The sequence below is a fragment of the Homo sapiens genome, chromosome 5 (genome assembly GCF_000001405.40).
Source record: "Homo sapiens chromosome 5, GRCh38.p14 Primary Assembly".
In the NCBI taxonomy this organism is placed as follows: Eukaryota; Metazoa; Chordata; class Mammalia; order Primates; family Hominidae; genus Homo; species Homo sapiens.
Genome location: NC_000005.10, coordinates 160432427 through 160454317, shown reverse-complemented (window position 1 = coordinate 160454317; position 21891 = coordinate 160432427). Strand labels below are relative to the sequence as shown.

General features: G+C 42.7%; 5 annotated features.

The window, feature by feature from the left end:
- Positions 10901-10960: an enhancer, noted in NCBI's record as "active region_23566". NCBI's record gives its function as "activates an Ori minimal core promoter by ATAC-STARR-seq in GM12878 lymphoblastoid cells {active_cell/tissue: GM12878}" and the evidence as "EXISTENCE:reporter gene assay evidence [ECO:0000049][PMID:35858748]".
- Positions 15378-15437: a silencer, noted in NCBI's record as "silent region_16586". NCBI's record gives its function as "represses an Ori minimal core promoter by ATAC-STARR-seq in GM12878 lymphoblastoid cells {active_cell/tissue: GM12878}" and the evidence as "EXISTENCE:reporter gene assay evidence [ECO:0000049][PMID:35858748]".
- Positions 17383-17442: an enhancer, noted in NCBI's record as "active region_23565". NCBI's record gives its function as "activates an Ori minimal core promoter by ATAC-STARR-seq in GM12878 lymphoblastoid cells {active_cell/tissue: GM12878}" and the evidence as "EXISTENCE:reporter gene assay evidence [ECO:0000049][PMID:35858748]".
- Positions 19820-20259: an enhancer, noted in NCBI's record as "active region_23564". NCBI's record gives its function as "activates an Ori minimal core promoter by ATAC-STARR-seq in GM12878 lymphoblastoid cells {active_cell/tissue: GM12878}" and the evidence as "EXISTENCE:reporter gene assay evidence [ECO:0000049][PMID:35858748]".
- Positions 21799-21888: an enhancer, noted in NCBI's record as "active region_23563". NCBI's record gives its function as "activates an Ori minimal core promoter by ATAC-STARR-seq in GM12878 lymphoblastoid cells {active_cell/tissue: GM12878}" and the evidence as "EXISTENCE:reporter gene assay evidence [ECO:0000049][PMID:35858748]".

Genomic DNA, 21891 nt, shown 5'->3' with positions numbered 1-21891 from the left:
GGAACCTCTTCGTTTTTGATAACTCACCATTCCTCCCTATCTAAACATGCTATCTGAACACAGGAACAAATTAGATTCGGAGAATTAAAATGCTTAGAAGAGGAGTCTGAGCTAAGCCTTGAAAGATAAGTAAAACTTCAATAGGCAGGGGGAGCAGGGGGGCGGAAAGAAGGGAAAACAGGACTTCCTTGCTAAGGAAGCAACATGAATTAAGAGAATGCAGCAGTAAATATGTCAAAGGAATGGCCAAGAACCCGGAATGGGTACCTCCATCATGGGAGACCAGTGGGGTAATCTTGGTAAAGTTTTAAATCCTGTGATGAGGAGCTTTTAGAACAAAGTAGATGCTGAAGGTTGAGGAACAATGGAATTTCTTGACCCAACAAGGAAGTGAGGAGGGCAACAAAAGTGAGAATGGAAATGAGAAAGAACCTAAGTTACCCTAAGATGTGGACTATCTAGGGTTTGGTGACCAGTTGGATGTTTAGCTAGAGAAGGTAAGGAATAAGTTAAAGACCAACTCCAGACTTCCAGTTAATGCAATAAATCTGAGTTTTCCCTGACAGGTGGAGGTGGAAATGGGGGTACAAGTGGGTTTGTGTCATGTTACCAAACACAGTTTACTCTTTTATTTTTAATTTGCAACCTGTCAGAAGCCCTGAGCCTGCTTCTCTTTCATTCATGCAATAAATATTTATTGAGCACCTATTGTGTATCAACTGCTGTGTTATAAGCCAGAAATACAGCAGTGAAGAAAACACAGTCCTTGATCTCACAGACCATAAAATCGACTTGGGAGTCCAGGCAGGTGAATGGACAATCACAGTCATGCTCAGACAGGAGAATTCATGGGATACTGGGATTTCAAGTAGGAGCACCTACCCCAAGTTTGGGTTTCCTTGGAAACATAGGAAGTTATTTCAAAGCTGAGCACAGAAACGGAAGTAGGATTTAAGAAGGCAAAGACCGGAAAGAATGTTTTTTCAAGCAGAGAAAACAGCAAGTATGATGGCCCTTGAGAGGTGGAGGAGCTACAGAGGTAGAATTTGGCTGGATGGAGGATGGGAGATGAGGAGTGGGCTGAAGTGGGACCAGATCACCACATAAGGTGTTTGAATTTCATGCCAAGGAGTCACTCTCCGGATATTTCTCAGTGCCAATGTGAGGTAGCAGCCACCCTTGCCCTTACAGCTCCAGTGTGCACACTTAGAAGGATGGCCTCTAGGCACATGTGCCTGGAAGCCTCCCCCGAAAGCCTGTGCAGAAGCACGAGGCAAGCCAATGAAGCAGAGCCAAGTTTTGATTTGAAAACGATGACTTTGCTTTTGTATCAGATTTCTAAATCGAGGTTTTTTATTTCAGCCCCACCAATGTCATGTGCACTGAGTTCCTTCTTTCACCCCCTCTTAAAAAAAGAAAAAAAAAGAAACCCTTGTGCAAATATCCATATGAAAGTAGATATACGTGTATGACAAAGTGGGTCATTCTTAAGTACAGAACCTTATCTGTAGACTTTTCCCATCCTTCCATTTGCCAATCATAATAGCTCCCAAGTTTCAGTTCTTAAAACCCTTGTCTCACCCTTAGGACACAGTAAGAGCCAGTTTAATTTTGATGTTGGTTCTGATGCTTGTAAATGTTATGTAACTTGTCCAAGGTCATCTAGCAATTTCTAGGTTTATAAGGGCAAAATAGCTTGGTTTGCTGTTTCACTACTTACTTATCCCACTCTCTTCCTCTCCATTTATTTTCTCTTTCCTTTCCTACTCTCAGTTGCAAATAATAAAGACTTGTGGGCTTGCCTTAAGCAATGGAGATGGGGGAGAATGTGCTATGGAAGTAATAAGGCGTATATATAGGGGAACCCAAGACCCTCAGTGGGGCATCAGTAGGAACAGAAACATCCCAGAGGTCAGTCTTGGAGATGCTGGCCCTCAATCCAAGGAGGCCCCAAGGAAAAGTAGCAGGAGGTCCTTGCCCTTGAGTGTCTGCCTTGAGTCTCTGTGATTCAGCTGTTTTCAGGGAGTTTCAGTCTCCCTCCTCTCTAGATAGGGCCCTGGGCTATCTAAAGGACATTATCAGGGTAACTGGTGATATCAGACTGAAGATTAGACAATAGTATTGTTAAATTTCCTGAATTTGATCACCATATTTTGATTGTGTAAGAGAATAGCCTTAGCCTTATCCTCAGGAAATATATACTAGAGGATTTAGGAATAAAAGGGCTTGATATGTGCAAACTACTTTCAGATAGTTTACAAAAATGTATATGGTGTGTGTGTGTGTGTGTGTGTGTGTGTGTGTGTGTAATGAGACAGAGAGAAGCAAATGTGGCAAAATGTTTACAGTTGGTGAATCTGGTTTAAAAGTATTCAGAAGTTCTTATTCTTGCATCTCTCTCTCTCTCTCTCTCTCTCTCTCCCCCCACCCCTTCGCCCGCCCCCACATATATATACAAGAGAGTGTCTCACTATGTTGCCCAGGCTTGGGTGCAGTAGCCTGATCCTAGCTCACTGCAGCTTCAAATTCCTGGGCAAGCAATCCTCCCACCTCACATTCCCAAGTAGCTGGGACTACAGGCATGCAGCACCACGCTAATCTTTTCTATTTTTTTGTAGAGATGGGATCTTGCTCTGTTGCCCAGGCTGGTCTTGAACTCCTGGCCTCAAGTGATCCTCCTGCCTCAGACTCCCAAAGTGCTAAGATTACAGGCATGAGCCAGTGTGCTCAGCCTTGAAAATAAGTTAACAAATGAGATTATAGGAAACAACATTAATTTTTTTTTAAAGGCCAAAAATGTAGTCTTGGACCAGATGCATAAGAATGACTCAGGGACTGGTTGAAAACACTGTACCAGTGCCTGAGCCCCATGCCAGAACAATGGAATCTGCATCTCTGGGGCTGAGTTCTAGGAACTGGCTTGTTAAATACGCATCTCGAGTGACTTCTATGTGCACTAAAAAGCACAACTTTCACCTATTGTGTCAAGACCACTCCAGATTTCTCACAACTTCAGCCCTCTGAGGTATCTCTTAAATAAAAATTATCAGTAAAGAGAGGCTCCAATAGCCCAGCCTATCTTAGATGCCAGGCCCCTTCTCAGGCTGCTACAAATCCATTTGTTGGCTGCCGTGGGGGTCAAGTGGCAGGTCCAACATCATTGGCTCAGAACCAGGGTCCCTTGGTCCTCTTGGATATGCCTCTTCTGGCTGGACTAGATTCACCAAAAGAGTGATAAGAAGAAACACTCTGCCACCGATTCATCTAATTTAATAATTTAATAAAGATTTCCATAGCAAAGTCTTTTTCAGCAAACACCAGGTGTTTTCTTCCATAATAAGAATATTGACCCCTGAAAATTGGAGGTAATGGGGAAAGTTTTGCATAATTCAGACACAGTCTTTGAAAAGCAGAAACTTGGAAAGTCTCTAGGCGACTTGAAAGTAAATGTTTTCCCCAAGGACCAATGGTTTTATTATATAGTCATACACTGTGTAATGATTTGAGTGCGTGAGGCATAAAGCGGCTGAACTATTTATCAAGGCTTTATGAACATCCGGCTTTCCAATAAGGAGATATTATCTGAATGATGTGATTTAGCTTTAAGAAGCACATTCTTGAAATACCGTATTGCTGGGTATTTTTAAGTCAAGACCTAAGAGGTAAACAGGAAGGTGAGGTATGAAAGTGTTGATTTCTCATTTCTCTCAAACCAAGACTTACTCCCACTCCTGCCCAATTCTTCCAACAGCCAGTCTTATAAATGTATTTCTTTAATAGAATGAATTTTATCCACACCCCCAAAAATTCTAGGTTGAAGCCCTAGCCCCAGTGTGATGGTATTTGGAGGCAGGACCTTTGGGAGATGATTAGGTTTGCATGAGGTCAAGAGTGTAGGGCGGTCATGGTGGGATTGGTGCCATTTTAAGAAGAGACATGAGAAAACTCTCTTTTCCATGTGAGGATACAGCAAGAACGCAGTCGTCTGCAAACCAGAAACAGGATCCTCACCAGGAACTGAATCATCTGGCACTTTCCTCTTGGACTTCTTAGGTTCCAGAACTGTGAGAAATAAATTTTTTGTTACTTAAGCCACCCAGTCTGTGGCATTTTGTTATACAGGCCAAGCCAACTGATACGATTTCCAAAATACATCCCCAATGCATCTACTTTTCTCTAACTCCACTGTCACTAGCCAATTCCTAGCGTCCATCCTCTCTCCATGGACCATTGGTCTCCTGTTTCTGTTCTTTCCTTATACACAGCAACCAGAATTAATTTTAAACTTTTTACTTTCAATAATGTCAAGCCTATAGAAGAATATGTACTTCTGGCCAAGATGGAGTAATAGTAGATTTACCCTCTCACCTGAATCAACTGAAAAACCAAACAAAATATATGAAACAAAGGTTTTCATGACACTAAACAGTGATACCTGAGAAATAGAAACAAAGCAGGCAAGCCCTCGATTGCCCCCACTTTACTGCATTATGAGACCTTCCAGGCCTGGGCACAGGGAGGGGCAACCCATGCAGAATCCAGCAAACTCTTTGAGTTGAGAATGCAGAGTGAAGAGTCGTTGAAATCCACAGGGGCTAGAATTCATAAGAGAGACTACCAAAGAGAAGAAGATACAGAAAAAGAACCCCAGAGCCCTGTGAAAGTCTCCCTTGAGTATTCAGGAGAGTAATGAATGCATTCATTGCATGTATGTAAAAAAAAAAAAAAAAACTACCCAACACTGGTGTTAGTCTGTTTGTATTGCTATAAAGGAATACCTGAAACTGGGTAATTTATAAAGAAAAGAGGGTTATTTTTGCTCATAGTTCTGCATGCTGTACAAGCACGTCACCAACATCTGCTTAGTTTCTGGTTAGGCTTCAGGAAGCTTACAATCATGGTGGATGGTAAAGGGGGACCTGGCATACCACATGGTGAGAAAGATAGCAAGAAAGATGCCAGACTCTTTTAAATGACCAGCTTTCATGTGAACTAAGAGCAAGAACTCATTCATCACCAAGGTGATGGCACTAAGCTATTCATGAGGTATCCACCCCTATGAACCAACAAACCAACACCTTCCACTCAGCCCCACCTCCAGCATTTAGGATCACATTTCAACATGAGATCTGGAGGGGATAAAACATCCAAACCATACCAGCTGGGAAAGAACAACCTGAAAGGATTACAAGGAAAAGTACCTGTCATTCACTCTGGGCCAGAAATAGAGCCTGTTCCCTCCAACCAGACTGGAAAACCTCATCGTCCATGGGGCATTGGCTAAAGTAGTAAGAAGGGTCTTGCCCTGGTAGAGGGAAATAATTAGCCCTAGACTAGGTGCTGCTCTGATCCTGCTAAACAAATCTTAAAAGGATTAAACTAATCTGAAAAGATTAAACTATTTCCAAGTAACTTAACTGCATCCTAGAGAGGGAAGCTCAAGAATATTGAAGTATAACAAATACCAAAAATATTTTAAGAAAACAAAACTACCCAGCACCCAAAAAGCAAAAATTTACAATGTCTGGCATCTACTAAAAAATATACACATGCAAACATAGAAGCAGAAAATCAAGATTCATAATGAGGAAAAAGATTAATTGAAACTGGCCCATAACTAACACAGATGTCAGAATTAGCAGACAAAGACATTAAAACAGGCCAGGCGTGGTGGCTTACGCCTGTAATTGCAGCACTTTGGGAGGCTGAGGTGGGCAGATCACAAGGTTAGGAGATTGAGATCATCCTGGCTAACACAGTGAAATCCCGTCTCTACTAAAAATACAAAAAAAAAAAAAAAAAATTAGCCAGGCATGGTGGTGGGCACCCATAGTCCCAGCTACTCGGGAGGCTGAGGCAGGAGAATTGCTTGAACCCGGGAGGCAGAGGTTGTAGTGAGCCGAGATCGTGCCACTCCACTCCAGCATAAGTGACAGAGCAAGACTTTGTCTCCAAAAAAAAAAAAAAAGACATTAAAACAGTCCTTATAATTATATTCTGCATATTCAAAGAACATACAGACCCAAATCGAAATTCTAGAATTGAAAATTACAATATCTACAACAAAAAGTACACTGGATGGGATTAAGAGTAGATTATCTGTTCACATGACAAGGTGCTTAAAAAACAAAAAAGAACACATTAGAAACTGTGGAAGAAAACATTAGTGAAATTGAAGACATCACAATAGAAACAAAACAAAATGGAAATACAGAAAGTAAAAGGCTGGAAAAAATACACAGAGCATCAGTGAGCTATGGGACAATTTCAAGAGGCCTTTTATACATAAAAATGAAGTCCCCAAAAGAAGAGAGGTAGTCAGAAAAAAACTACTTGAAGAAATATTGAATGAAAACATTTCAAAATCTGATGAAAACTATAAACCCAGAGATCCAACAAGCTCAGCAAACTCCAAACACAGAAAAAAAAATAAAGAAAACTACATTAAGACACATCATACTCATTCAAAATCTGTGCTACTGGGTATTTGGGGGAAGGAGAATATCTAGAGGAAAAAAGCAACCAAACATGCCAGGGACAGAGAGGCAAGGATAAGAAATGCAAGTGAAAAGACAATAGAGCAGAATCTTTAAAGTACCTAAAGGGAGGCTGGACTCCGTGGCTCACACCTGTAAACCCAGCACTTTGGGAGGTTGAGGTGGGTGGATCACTCGAGGTCAGGAGTTCAAGACCAGCCTGACCAACATGGTGAAACCCTGTCTCTACTAAAAATACAAAAATTAGCCAGGCATGGTGGGGTACGCCTGTAATCCCAGCTACCTGGGAGGCTGAGACAGGAGAATTGCTTGAACCTGGGAGGCAGAGTTTGCAGTCAGCTGAGATCACGCCATTGCTCTCCAGGCTGGGTGAAGGAAAGAAAAGGAGGGTGGGAAGAAGGGAGGGAGGGAGGGAGGGAGGGAGGGAGGGAGGAAGAGAAGAAGGGAGGGAGGGAGGGAGGAAGAAAGACAGGGAAGGCAATAACCTAAAAGGCAAAAACACTCTGAACCTAGAATTCCACATTAAAGACTTTTCCACCATCATTACAATAAATGTTGAGGCCAGGCGTGGTGGCTCACGCCTGTAATCCTAAAACTTTGGGAGGCTGAGGTGGGTGGATCACGAGGTCAGTAGTTTGAGACCAGCCTGACCAACATGGTGAAACCCCATCTCTACTAAAAATACAAAAATTAGCCAGGCTTGGTGGCGGGCGCCTGTAATCCCAGCTACTCAGAAGGCTGAGGCTGGAGAATCGCTTGAGCCTGGGAGGCAGAGGTTGCAGTGAGCCAAGATCACACCACTGCACTCCAGCCTGGGTGACAGAGTGAGACTCTGTCTCAAAAATAAATTTAAAAAAATAAAATAAATGTTGAAGGAAGCTCTTCAGACAGAGGGAGAAAGATACCAAAAAGAAATCTGGACATACGCAAAGGAATAAAGAGTATACCAAAAAATATAGAAGAGGTTGTCTTATTATTCAAATCTCTTTAAAAGATGATTAACCATTGAAACAAAAATAATGACAATATAATATAGGATTTATAATATATTAAAAAGTAAAAATGTATGACAATAATAGCTCAAAGACTAGGAAGGGAGAAATGGAAGCATATTGTTGCAAGATTCCTATACTATAAATAAAGTGACATAATAACACTTAAAAGTATACTATGATAAGTTAAAGACATATACCATAAACTCAAAAGCAACCACTAAAAAAATTTCTAACTGATCAGTCAACAAAGAGATCATTTTCAAAATATTTAACCCAAAAGAAGATAGCAAAAGAGGAAAAAGAGAGCAAAGAACAGATGGACAGGCCAGGTGTCATGGCTCATGCCTGTAATCTCAGCACTTTGGGAGGCCACGGCAGGCAGATCACCTGAGGTCAGGGATTCGAGACCAGCCTGGCCAACATGGTGAAAACCCATCTCTACTAAAAATACAAAATTTAGCCTGGCTTTGTGGTAGATGTCTGTACTCCCAGCTATTCAGGAGGCTGAGGCAGGAGAATCCCTTGAACTCGGGAGGTGGAGGTTGCAGTAAGCCAAGATTGTGCCACTGTACTCCTGTGTGGGTGACAGAGTGAGACTCTGTCTTAAAAAAAAAAAAAAAAAAGAACAGATGGGCAAGTAGAAAACAAATAGCAAGATTAAATAGACTTAAACCCAGCCACATCAAGAATCAAAGCCAGGGAAAAGTTGCAAGAATAGTACAAAGAACTCAACTATGGTTTTCATGGAGATTCACCAAATTTTATTGTTGTTCCACATTTGCTATTGCTTGCCCTATGCATACATTTTTTTCATAATTTGAAAGTATGTTGCAGACATCATGCCCTTTTACCCCTATACATTTTCACATGTATTTCCTAAGAAAAAAGACATTCTCTTGCATAACCTTCAAGTTATCAAATTCAGGAAATTTAACAAGGATACAATCCTCTTTTCAAAAGCCAGTCTATTCTTAATTTTCATCATTTCCCCCAATAATGTTCTTTACCAACTTATTTCTCAGTCCCAGATTCATCCCACAATTGCACACTGCATTTAATTGCCATGTCTCTTTAATGTAGAACTATTCCTCAGCTCTTCCTTGTCTTTCATGACCTTGACTTCTTTTTCCTTTTACTTTCAGTTGATACATAATAACTATACATATTTATGCGATAAGAAGTGATATTTTGAAGCATGTATACAAGGTGTAATGATCAAATTAGGGTGATTAACATATCCATCACCTCAAATAGTAATCATTTCTTTATTTTGTGAACACTCAAAACCCCCTTTTCTGGTTTTTTGAAAATATACACTAAATTATTGCTAACCATATTCACTTTACTGTGCTACAGGACACTAGAATTTATTTCTCTTTTTTAGGTGTAACTTTGTATTCATTAACCAACCTCTCCCTATCCTCCCCTCCCACACCCTTACCAGCTTTTAATAACCACAATTCTACTCTCTGCCTCTATGAGCTCATTTTTTTAGCTCCCACACGAATGAGAATATGTGGTATTTATCTTTCTGTGTCTAACCTAGTTCACTTAAAACAATGTCCTACAGGTTCACCCATGTTGCTGCAAACTACAGGATTTCATTCTTTTTTATGGCTGAATAGTATTCTATTGTGTACATATACCATATTTTCTCTATGCATTCATCTGTTAATGGGCATTCAGGTTGATTCCTTCACTATTATGAATAGACCTGCAATAAACATGGGGATGTAGGTATCTATGTCTTTGATAAATTAATTTCCTTTCCTTTGGATAAATACCTAGTAGTGGGATTGCAGGATCATATGGTACTTCTACTTTTAGTTTTTTGAGAAACCTCCCTACTCTTTCCCATAATGGTTATAGTAATTTACATTGACATCAAAAGTTGAGTTCACTTTTCTCTGCATCCTGACCAGTATTTGTTAATTTTTTGTCTTTTTGATAATAGCCATCCTAATAGGTGTGAAGTAATATCTCATTGTGGTTTTGATTTTCATTTTCCAAATGATTAGCAATGTTGAGCATTTTTTCATATGCCTGCTGGCCATTTGAATGTCTTCTTTTGAGATATGTCTATTCAAACGTAAGGGGATCACTTCAGGACATTGGTCTAGGCAAAGATTTTCCAGGTAAGACTTCAAAAGAACAGACAATAAGAATGAAAGCAAACAAATGGGACTACATCAAACTAAAACTATATCTGCACAGCAAAGGAAACAATCAACAGAGTGAAGAGACAACCTGTTGAATGGGAGAAAATATTTGCAAACTATACATCTGACAAGGGACTAATATCCAGAATACACAAAGAACTCAAACAACTCAACAGAAAAAAAAATTCTATTTAAAAATGAGCAAAGGACCTGAATGATCTTGATATTTTTGAAGAGTGCCAGCCAGTTGGGTTATTGTCACTGTTGTTTGGTTTGATTATAGGATGCCTCTCAATTTGGAATTGTCTGATAAAAATCATTTTTTAATGTAAATCTGATCATGACACTTTCCTACTTAAATCACTCTTTTCTCTTTACACTTAATCACACCATTACAAAGCTACTCCTAAGCTGACCTCTGCCTTCCTCTCCCATCACTCTCTGCCCCATCGTGTTCCAGGTTTTCTGTTGCTAATAAGCTCCAGGTGTTCTCACTTCAAGGCTGTTGCATTTTCTGTTCCCTCTTTCCTCAGCTCCCATCTTTCAGACTTCAGTTCCCAATCGCCAACTCAGAGGCATCTTCCCTGAACCCGCTGTCAAAAGTAGCCCACCCTCAGAGCCAAACCTTTTCACTTCTCTTCTTATTTCCTTCAGAGCACTATAACCATCAGAAATAATCTTGTTTGTGTATTTTATTTCCATTGAAATAAAAGCCCTAGGAGGGCAGGAATCTTGTCTGTCTGTTCACAGATGAGTCTCCAGCATCGACAATATTACCAGGCACACAGAAGGCCTTCAGTATATATTTTTGGAAAGGACAAATAAATAGTGGAGAAAGAGAGCCATGAGAACAAAAGAGAGAAAAGGAAAGGAATGTGCTTTGAATTAAAAGAAATCTGAATGACATAACTAAAGTCTACTGAGAGCTTTCTACATGCTAAGCACCATGTTCCAACCCATTCATGGGACAGTCAGAATCTCGAGTAAGTCACTTAATTTCTTAGGCCTCAGACTGTGCATCTGTAAAACGAAGGCCTAACATTCTAGGAATATATGAGCCTCCACCTGCAGCCTCAGAGAGATACGAAGAGGGATATTCAGGCTATCTAAAGGGACCTCAGCAGAGAGTGGAGAAGAAAACAGTATCAAACAGCAGACACCCAAGCTGAGTGACCAGAATGAAGGTGTGAAGGGGGCAGGAAGCCACCCCGTAGTGAATGCCTGCCTTGCTTTTCTAGGAGGTGTCCTTTGAGCCATGGGAGGAAGCCTTTCCAAAGACCACCTGATCCCATCTCCTGGACTGAGGGAATGAAGTGTCATAATGCAGAGAGAAAGAAGTGAAGAAGGAGCACAGAGAAGCAGAGGTGAGAGTTGGGAAAAGAGTTCTTTGACTTTCAAGTACTTGGCTCCACGCCCTCCCAAAGGCCTGGCTTCCCTCCTGTTCTTTGTTTCATGAAACACCCAATAGCCTGAAAGAGTCTTTTATACTAAAGCTAGCTCAAGCTGGTTTCTGTTCCTGCTGACTATTAGTTGACTTTGGAGGGCTGCCTTCAGTTGTTGGAGGAATTCCCCCACTTAAGAGTCTTGGTGGGAAGCAGAGAGCACCTCCCACCATAGAATTTGAAAGTGTCAGGGATGGTTGAGGACATGACCCAGGTTCAACCAATTAGATATGCATATGCCATGAACCCATCGTAATAGTGGCAGCAATAGCAGCAGCATCCTGTGTCACCTGTGCTGGCTGTGTAAGCTAGGGTTTTCAGTGTCAGTGGCATCCATGCCAGGTTGGCGCTGTGTCATCACCCAGACTGCTACCCTGGCCGATGCCTGACCTTCCTTGTTACCTCCCTTTATCTGGTGCCTCTTCTATCATTTTCCTGGCATTTCTCTGAACCACTTGACATGCTCTCAATTGATTCCTTTTCTGCTTAAATCAGCCAGGACTGGTTTCTGTTGTCTGCAACTAAGAACTCCAGTGGCAATTAAGAAACTCCAGTTTCTTTCCATAAAAAAGTCCCAACTAGTTCAAGGAGCTCAGCCTTGCCTGAGCCTTCTTTGAGTGTGTTTTCTAGCCTAATGACCCCTCTTCCTAACCACTGCTTCACAGAGAGAACCAGATGCAGGTCAAGCCTTTAGATGGAGAATCTCCCGCTGGACCTTATATTTGGTGCCCACGTATATGTTGCAAAAGCTGCTGGTGGCCCGGGCCCACCTATATGTTAATTAGGAAAAGGCCTGATTAAGCAGCGGAGGATGCCCTGTGCAGGGAATACCTGCACTTTCATACACAATGGCCTTGGTAGCACATTTTTTCCAAGGCCCTGTTGGGCTGAGTTGGTATTTTAGGGAGAATATACTAAACACAAGTTTACAAATTAAGAGAATCTACATTTGGTTTGGGTTGAGTAGGGAAGCCAAATTGGAAGCCATGGGCTTCACAGAGGCTTATAAGCTGAATGAGGCATAGAACCACTGTTTGTACTCTGGAATCTATGGATGGGTTTGGGGGATGGGAAGTCTTTTAAAACCCTGGAATTATATATAAAATGTAATGGGGACCTATGCTTTTCTGGAGACAGGGTCTATAACTCTCATTAGCTCTTGAAAAGGCTTTGTGATCTATCAACCACACACACACATACATACACACACACACACACACATACACACACATGCTCACTCACAACCACTGGTATGGTACTCTTTCATTTTACAGATAAGGAAAGAAAGAACCAGAGGTGTTCAGTATCTTTCCCAAGGTCACAGAGCTGATGAGTGGTCATGTCAGGATGAAAATCTAGGTCCACAGCTCAAATACCAAAACTCTCCATGCTTTAGGTAGCATTCATATTATCATCCCAATGAAATATCTCCATCAGGAGAATTCTATCTGGTCAGGAATGTCCCAGAACTGGCAGCAAAGACCTCACAGGAAGGAGTTTCCCAGCATGAGCAATGCAGCTTTTCTAAACATCAGGATTCCACTGCCCCAGCCACCTCATCCAGCCCTGGCCAGGTTAGAACAGGCCTGCAGTGGTGATGGAGCCAATCAAGGGCCACCAGGGGTAAACCCTACCCCTCTACTTTTCCCCCACACTTCCCTGTCCCCACAACTTGTAAGCACCTGCACATAGGGACCAAGCAGAGACTCAGGAAGCCTGTGGGCTGGAAAGCCACAAGTTGCTCAACTAGTACTTTAAAACCAAAAAAAGTTTAATATTTTGTAAAGTCCCACACAAATAACGCTGGTCTCTCACACCACACCCAAGGCCACATGGGAGTAGGCAGCCTTGTACATTCACACTCACCTTTCTCAAACAAGGCTTCCCTTTCTTGGGTGCTCATGATATTCATTTCATCTCATGGGTTTAAAATATTGGGGGCAGGGCAACCAAATAACTTCCCCAGTGGCTTACTTCCAGGAAAGTTGTTTCATTTTTGAAGAACCTTAGGAATTACCATAATAACAGCTAAGTTATGGTCCAGACACTATGGTAAGCAATTACCATGCATATAATAATTTGATCTTCAAAATAAGGATAAATAGCATTATTGTTCCTAATTTATAGACAAGGGAGCTGAAGCCAAAGAGGTTCAGTGATCTGCTGAAAGTTACAAAACTAGTAGAAGGCAGAGCAATGATTTAAATCCAGGTCTCTTGGACTCCAGGGTCTAAGCTGCTGGCTCTTCCTGGAGGTTGAATTGCCTCTCAAGAGATGGGGGTGTCAGCTGGGATTTTGGAGAATCTGCAGCTTTCCGTGCCCCTTCAAAGGCTGTAGGCACACAAAAAGGAGGATGTCCTGCTAAGTACTGTATCTCCTTCCAATAAGAATCAGTACTTCAGAGAGTCTTAGACCATTAGATCCCAAAGAATTACAGCGATTATCTCCTCCTACCTCTTCATTTTATAGATGAGGACAGCAAGGCTCAGGGAGGGCAAGCAACCAGTGCAGAACACACAGCTAGCAAGCAGTCCCTCGACTCCAGCCCAGGAAGCCATCCACTGTCTCCACAGGGGGAGACACTGTGTCCACTGGTATATAGGAGATGATTTTACTGGTACACAGACAAAACTTTAAATAGTGTTGATCTTAAAATTGGATCTGCTATTCGATCCAGCAATCCCACTACTGGGTATCCACCCAAAGGAAAAGAAGTCATTACATGAAAATGACACACGCACACTCATGTTTATAGCATCACAATTCACAATTACAAAAATATGGAACCAACCTAAATGCCCACCAACCAACGAGTGGATAAAGAAAACGTGGTATATATACCCCGTGGAATACTACTCAGCCACAAAAAGGAATGAAATCATGGCATTCGCGGCAACCCGGATGGAGTTGGAAACTATTATCCTAAGTGAAGTAACTCAGGAATGGAAAACCAAATATCGTATGTTCTCACTTTTAAGTGGGAGCTAAGCTATGAGGATGCAAAGGCATAAGAATGATATAATGGACTTTAGGGACTCCGGGGGAAAGGGTGAGAGGGATGAGGGACAAAAGACGGGACATTGGGTACAGTGTACACTGCTCTGGTGATGGGCGCACGGAAATCTCAGAAATCACCACTAAAGAGCTTATCCATGTAACCAAATACCACCTGTTCCCCAAAAACTATTGAAATTAAAAAATAAAAATAAAATAATGTTGGTCGACATCATGAGAAAACCATTCCCTTTTCACTTCTCTTTTAGCCTCTCTGATTACTTTAAGGATAATCTCAATTCAGTGCTAATATATCTTTAACAGCTTTCCTTAAATATTTCTTTAAGAAACTCTTTTAAGAGAGAAAATGGATCCTTGGTGGGAAACCGCATCAGTATCAGCAAGAACTTAGTACCATTGCTTTTTTTCTTTTCGTCTTGGTTACCCTCCGATTATGTCAAATGATGCAAGTTTTCCATTGACACATTAAAGTTTCCGTTTAAATATATGTATTCATGTTAAAGAAAAATTGAATTGATTTAAAGAAAAATATTAAACGAATACTGCTCACTGACTATAATATAAAAAAATTTTTAAAGCAGTATCAATGAAAATAAACATATTACTTCCTAATCACTTTGTAAGCAAATCACTCAGTAAGGAAACTAAAATTTTAAAGCATCTGACTGTACTCATGGTGGGTACACGTGACTAGAAATCTATCACACTAACATGAGGGTCAGCTCCACGCTCTGTGACTTCTTCGCTTCACTCTCCACCACAACCCCCTGTGCCACTCCGGGGACCTCAGGAAGAGTCTAACGGGGCAATTCCAGTTGAAGGGGAAACAGCCAAAGCCACCACGGAGGGGGACTGTCTGTGCGAGCTGATCGCAGCAGGGAATGTGGTATGCCGCCCCCTGGTGGGCAGTTTCGAAATTAGCCCGGCACCTTTGTCCTCTGGTGTAGATAGACAAGCCTAATACTTGTAAGACATACTTTCCTAAAAGGAGAAGGTTTCCTTTGCATTGTATGTAAGCGGACATGTAAGCATAGGCACACACTGCCTGTGGATATCACTTCAGGGTAGTACAGGAGGTGTTACGAAATGTTTCATACAGAAAGGGGCTTTTATGTCTGATAAGGCTGAGAACTACTGTCCTAGAGCAGCAAGACCCGCCGCTCCCTGCTTGACTTAACAGCCAGGTGAGGCCAGCTTCTATGGAGACCGCTTCGTGGTACCAAGTGTGCCTTCTAGCTGGATGTTGCAAAAGTTACTTAACCAATCAGAGCCCAAGTTTCCAACCATCAATAATGAATGCTCACGCATACCCACACCCCATGGCGTTTCTCTGAGAGTCCAAAGGACGATGCGTGTGAGGCACTTAGCACTGATCTGGCAGCCAGTAAGTACTTATCAATGTCAGGTGGCGGTGGTAACAGCGCCCTCCCTTCCACCAACCTCTCCACCCCAGTTTTATTAAAAGAGGTCTGATGTAAAAGAAAAAAACAAGAAAAAAGGAAAAAGCAAAAAACAATCAGGATTTTCGGACAAAACTTACCACATCCATCAAGCTGAGGAATCCTAAAGACATCGAACCCCAACGTACCACCCATCTCAGCTGAAAGATCATTTCCAAATTAGAGGAAGCTGCGACTGACTGAGAAGGCAGGAGGTGCCCTCTAGTGGCATGGTTACATTAGCTTGGGAGGAAAGGTAGTGCAGTTCATTTTCAAAGGGAAGGACAAAACCAATTGTTAAACTGAGGCAGGAGGCAGTGATGCTTCAAAGATGCAAGTGGGAATTTACTGTCTGCTCTGTGGACCATCGAAGATGCCTTCAGGATCTGGCCTTAGCCAACGGCAAGTGGCATGCTGAAAGTCAGATCAGCTGGTCAAGGGTGGAACTGGGAACTGAACCCAAAGGTGCTAACTACAAATCCAGAAATCTCACCCTTGACAGCAAACCTCTTGCTAGTGGGAGCTGTGGCTTGTGTCATTTTACATCCTTCAAAGCAGCAACCACAGGGTTTTGTATACATAGATACAGTATTCAATAAATTACTTGATGAAATATTCATGAAATGATCGTTTATGAAATAATGAATAATGCATTATTTCATTTGTTGCTCACAATAACTGTGACATAGCCTAGTTTACTGATAAGGAAATTAAGTCTCTGGTCAAGTAACTTGCCTAAGATCACAAAGCCAGGTTTCAAACCAAGCATACTAACTCCAGAGCCTCGGTGCTTATCCACTAGACATGCAGTTCTCAAACTGTTTGGTCTCAGGATTCCTTTACAGTCTGGGTTTTGTTGTTGCTGTTTGTGGAGATGGTGTTTTACTATGCTCAAGCAATCCTCCCACTTCAGCCTCCCAAAGCACTGGGATTATAGATGCAAGCCACCTTGCCTGGCTTCCTTTACACTCTTAAAGAAATTATTAAGGATGAAAAAGAGTTTTTGTTTATAAGGATTATACCTATCAATATTTACAGTTTTAGAAATTAAAGCTGAGGAATTTAAAATATATTTATTTAAACATTATCACAATAAAGCAATTAATTATAACATAATTAATATATTTTTATAAAAAGTAACTATTTTCCTAAACCAAAAAACACCCACATTTAGAAAATTAACATGACATTGTTTTACATTTCTGAAAATCTCTACTATCTGGCTTAAGACAGCTGATTTCTCACATCTACTTCTTCATTTGCTCTGCTATAATACCATACTTGGAGTAGCTTCTGGAAAACTCCACTGTACACTTGTGAAAGAATGGAAATTTAAAAGGCAAATAACATCCTGGCACTATTATTAAAATATATTTGATGTCATGTACCCCTAAAAGGTCTTGGGGACCCCTGGTATGTCTAGGCACCCTTTTGGAAGCACTGATGTACAATATGCTGTCCATAGGGCAAGTGAACAAAGGGCTCTGCCCTCCTGAGAGTCACATCTCCAGGGAGTTCATTCCACTTGTAATGTTCTTAGTAACTTCATAAACTCATTTCAACCTCTTTATTTTTTACATTCTTGCTCTTTTCCTGGAAATGGCATGTCCTTGAAGGCAACTCTTTCTTCCTCTGTGTTCCGGATGCAGCCAGCCATCAGGGCAATGATGAGTCCCAAAACAGAATCCTTCAAGCAATAAAGAGGGTCTCTGCTTTAATCCTAGATGCCTCTATATAAAGACCAAGGAGCATAAACTATTTGTATTAGTCTGTTCTCACACTGCTATGGAGAAATACCCAAAACTGGTTAATGTATAAACGAAAGAGGTTTAATTGACTCACAGTTCTGCAGGGCTGGGGAGACCTCAGGAAATTTACAATCATGAAGGAAGGGGAAGCAAACACATCCTTCTTCACGTGGTGGCAGCAAGGAGAAGTGCAGAGCGAAGGTGGGGAAAAGCCCCTTATAAAACCATCAGATCTTGTGAGAACTCACTATCATGAGAACAGCGTGGAGGTAACCACCCCCATGATTCAATTACCTCCCACCGGGCCCCTCCTACCATACGTGGGGATTATGGGAACTACAATTCAAGATGAGATTCTGGTAGGGACACAGCCAAACCATATCACTATTCATTCCTATTATTCCATTTCTAGGGAAAAGAACTTTCTAAAAATTCTCACTCAATTTCGCCTAGACTAAGAAGCCCAGTGTCAAGAAGTGATACTCCCAATTGTGTTTTATTAAAATATGTAAATGAGTCATGAATAGCAGTATCCTAAAAGACATCATATTTCACATCTAGAGTGGGGCTCCCCTGGCTGCCATCCCTCCCTGGTCACCAACCCTCATGTGGCCTTCCCATCAGCATCAGTGAAGAGGGGACCCCTGTTCCACCCCATTCCCCAGTACGACAGTAGGGGGATGGGATAGTGTCCTCTTGTATCCTCGCTGTTGCCTCCAGACCACACTCTCTCCCTCTACCCTCAAACTGCAGCTTGGAATCTTATATCATCAAATAGGCCCATCCATTGCTTATCTCATTGCAAACACCTGTGTCATTCCCTTCTCCCCACCCCGCCTTAAAGATTTTGTCCGTAGCTCACTGCCATTCTCTTTACTACTGCTCCTTTGTTCTGTCTATGCCTTCCAACTTACTGTCCTCTGAATTCCTTGGCAATTCTCCAGTGAGCTTGTCTTCCATCTACCTCAACCACCCAGTCCCATGGTCATCTCCTAGACATTGTCACTAAGAAAAACTTCAAACACTCCATAACTGATTATCTGATCTTCAAGCACCCCACTCTCCATCTTCCCAGCTCAACATTACTCTGCCTCCTTCTTTTGGTCTTTCAGGGACATACACTTAAAATCCAAACTCATTTTCACAGCCCCTAAGATCCTCCATGATACAACCTCTGCCTACTTCTCTGGCCCTGTCTCCTAACCCTCTCCCTATCACTCACTACCCTCCAGCCCTGCTGACCTTTTTGCAATTCCTCAAACATACTAAATCCATTCCTACGTCAGTGCCTTTGTAAATGTTCTCTGGCTTCCTTGATAGATACAGCCCTGGATGTCCTCTGGGTATCTCTCTCACTTCCTTCAAATCTCTGTTCAAAAGTAGCTTCTCAATGAGGCCCTCCAAAACTTCTCTATTTAACATTGCAATTCCTCCACCTACCCATTCACCCACAGGACATACCCCCTTCCCACTTTATTTTTTTCCACTACACCTATCACTTTCTAGCATACCATGTAATTGACTATTTTGTAGATAGTCTGTTTCTTCTGGCTACAATGTAAGTTTCATAAGGAGGGCAGAGATTTTTGTCTGTTTTGTTCAGTGCAGTATCCTTGGTACCTAGAAGAGTGCCTGGCTCATAGTGGCCATTCAGTTGATTTTTTTTTCTTTTTGCATGAGGAAAATTGGATTATGCAGATCTGAACAATAAAAAGGATCACTAAATCTCACTTCTACATAAAATTTTAAATCTATCATTTTAGAATTTATCAAGAATCATCTAATTTCACTTTTATTGGGTTTTAAATTAATGTTTATACTTTTGCCATATAACTTTGCTTCTGTAACAGAAACACTTGATACTTGTTATAAATTGTGTCCCTCCCCACCACCTCAAAATTCATATGCTGAAGTCCTCACCCCCAGCACCTCAGAATATGACTGTATTTGGAGATGGGGCCAGTAAAGAGTTAATCAAGTTAAAACAGGGTCATCTGGGTGGGCCCTAATCCAATCTAACTGATGCCCTTAGGAGAAGGGGAGATTAGGACACAGGCAACACAGAGCAAAGACCGTGAGAGGACACAGTGAGAAGCCAGGGACATGACTACAATAGAAAAAGAGAGCCCTCAGAAGGAACCAACCCTGCCACACCTCGGCCATGGACTTCCAGCCTCCAGAATCGTAAGAAAATAAATGTCCATTGTTTCAGCTCCCTCAGTCTATGGTATTCTGTTATGGCAGCCCTAGCACACAAATATAACATCCATGTCAGGATTAGTCTTAAATTACATTAATTTATGGTAATTATACAAGGTCTTCAGGAACACAACCCTCCCATAAAACTCAACAGCCCTGTGTCTGAGTACCCGGTAGGCACCAAGCACCATGTAGTTTTGTGTCTGCTGCTTTCTTAGGTCCCCCTTCTTTCTCTGTCTCTTTTTCAAGGTATGAGTCCATGCCTGCCTTTCCCTCTCTCCCCTGTGGCATCTCACATACCACCCTCTCTGCCTCCAACTACAAGACTGAAATACGATGTGTTGTACGGCTCTAGTCACATGCCCAGTTTTCCAACTAGTAATACAGAACATCATACTCAACTAACTTTTCATCTTTCCAGTAAGATGAAGATGCTTCTTAGTCATGTGACCTGCCCCTGACTTATACCTCTGGGCTAGCGTCCCTACACTGCTGTCCTTTCTGGTGTCCCTCCCTGCAAGACTGCAGGAAGCCAGGAGCCAGCCTGGCTTGGGCTCTGAGCAGCATACCAAAGGCAGGCAGCTCTCACCTCTGCAGCAGGGCTGCAAAGCGGAGGTGAGCGCTGGTGCGTGCCATTGCCATGGAAACCCACTCCCACTCCTCGGGCAGCGGAGGAAGGTGGGGCCTGCGGTCTGTTCCACTATGTGATCTGAAAAGAGAAATGGCTCATCAGTCCCAGGCTCCTCTTGTAGGAAAAAGAGGCCTCTTCAGAAGGGAGTGTAGGCACAAATCCTCCCAGGAGCCTGTGCACACAGAGCCAAAGGGAGCCTCTTTGCACTCATTCTTCCTGCCGTGATTCAGTTCCACAAACTGATCATTCGTCTACTCCAGGCAAGACACTGGACTTGGAGACTGCAAGGATAAACAAGACCCATGTCCAAGTTCACTCTGGCTGGAAAGGAGAGACAGATCTGCTGTTTGATTGTTCCTGTTGCTTGAAAACATGCAGCTAAAGTCCCCAAAAGCCACTGAGTGTAGCATATTCTAAAGTTAGCTCTGGGCTTGCCAAGAGATGCCAGTCCTAGGAGCATCAACCATCAGGAGCAGAAAGAGGCCTGATAGATGAGGTGGCCCGCTTTGGGGATGTCTGCAGAGAAAAGCTGTGTCCGTGGTGGGAGAGGTGTTCCTCTCCTACCTGCAGTCATGAAAAGCTTTAAATGAACACATAAAGATAGGAATCTTCAGGAAGGGGAGAATGGCCTCTCACCCCCAGACACACACCAGCTGAGTTGCAGGAGAAATAGGTAAGCCTATGCTGGTGCCACCAACAGAACCAAGACTGGTGAGAGAGAGGGCTCTTGAGAGAGCATTCTGGGAGTATTTATTGTCCTTTTCAGCCTTCTCACTGCACTGCGGGGAGGAGAGGATCATCGGCATGTAGAGACTCACTGCAACTTAAAGATTGGCACCTGCTCCTGGTCCAGAGATTTCTCACGGTGGGGACCTGCTGGAGTACCCAGGCCTGCAGGGAAACCTTCACCCCATCCTGGTTCTGCAGCCCTCAAAGGGGATGGAAAAGATCCCAGTGGTTAATCATGGAAGGGCAGAGGCCTTGGACAGCCCCTGGACCAAGGAATAGAAGGGCCCACCTGGGAAAGGTGTGGGAAGAGAGGCAGGCTGCCATTCTCAGGAGGGACAGGGTTTTCAGCCGTGGAGAAGAGGGTGATTCTCTACACAAGGACCTCCCCATGAGCAGAGGCCACCAGCATCGTGCAGAGCACAACAGCCAGAACGAAGCCAGCACACTTCCCATAACCAACAAGTGGCCTGTCACACGAGCAGACTCTTTTCTCCCTCCAGCCGTCCTCCCAGGCTTGGGGCTGGACTAAGCCCCTATGAGGGTCATAACACCGGAAGGGGAGAAGGGACATGTGTGGTGAGCAGAGCATACACATGGGCTTTTGCCAAGCCCTCGCCTGTACTAGGGGAGAGGGAGAAGAGCCTGAAATAGGTGTGAACCTCAAGTTTTAAAATAAGCAAAGTTTAATTTTAACCAAAAGTAACTGGAAAGCTATGAAATCTGTCTGAATGCTGCTCAGCATCACCCACCACCCAGAAAGGAGGAAAGGAGAACAGGTCAACAAAACACAGTTGGTGGCAATAAAAAAAGAAAGAAACTCAGTTTATGTTTCCCCAGCAGAGCTGGAGCTTCTCAGTAAACAGGTTATACCTGGGCTTGGTGGGGCACAGACAGACAGGTGACCAGGAACTGTCTAGGGTAGGAGAAGCTGACCTCCTAGACCTGTGCCTGCCCCCACCACTCTCTCTCTGGAAACCTTGAAGTCAGGCTCCCTGGCCCTGATACCGTGTGATGCTAACAGTGGGTACAGTGCAGTC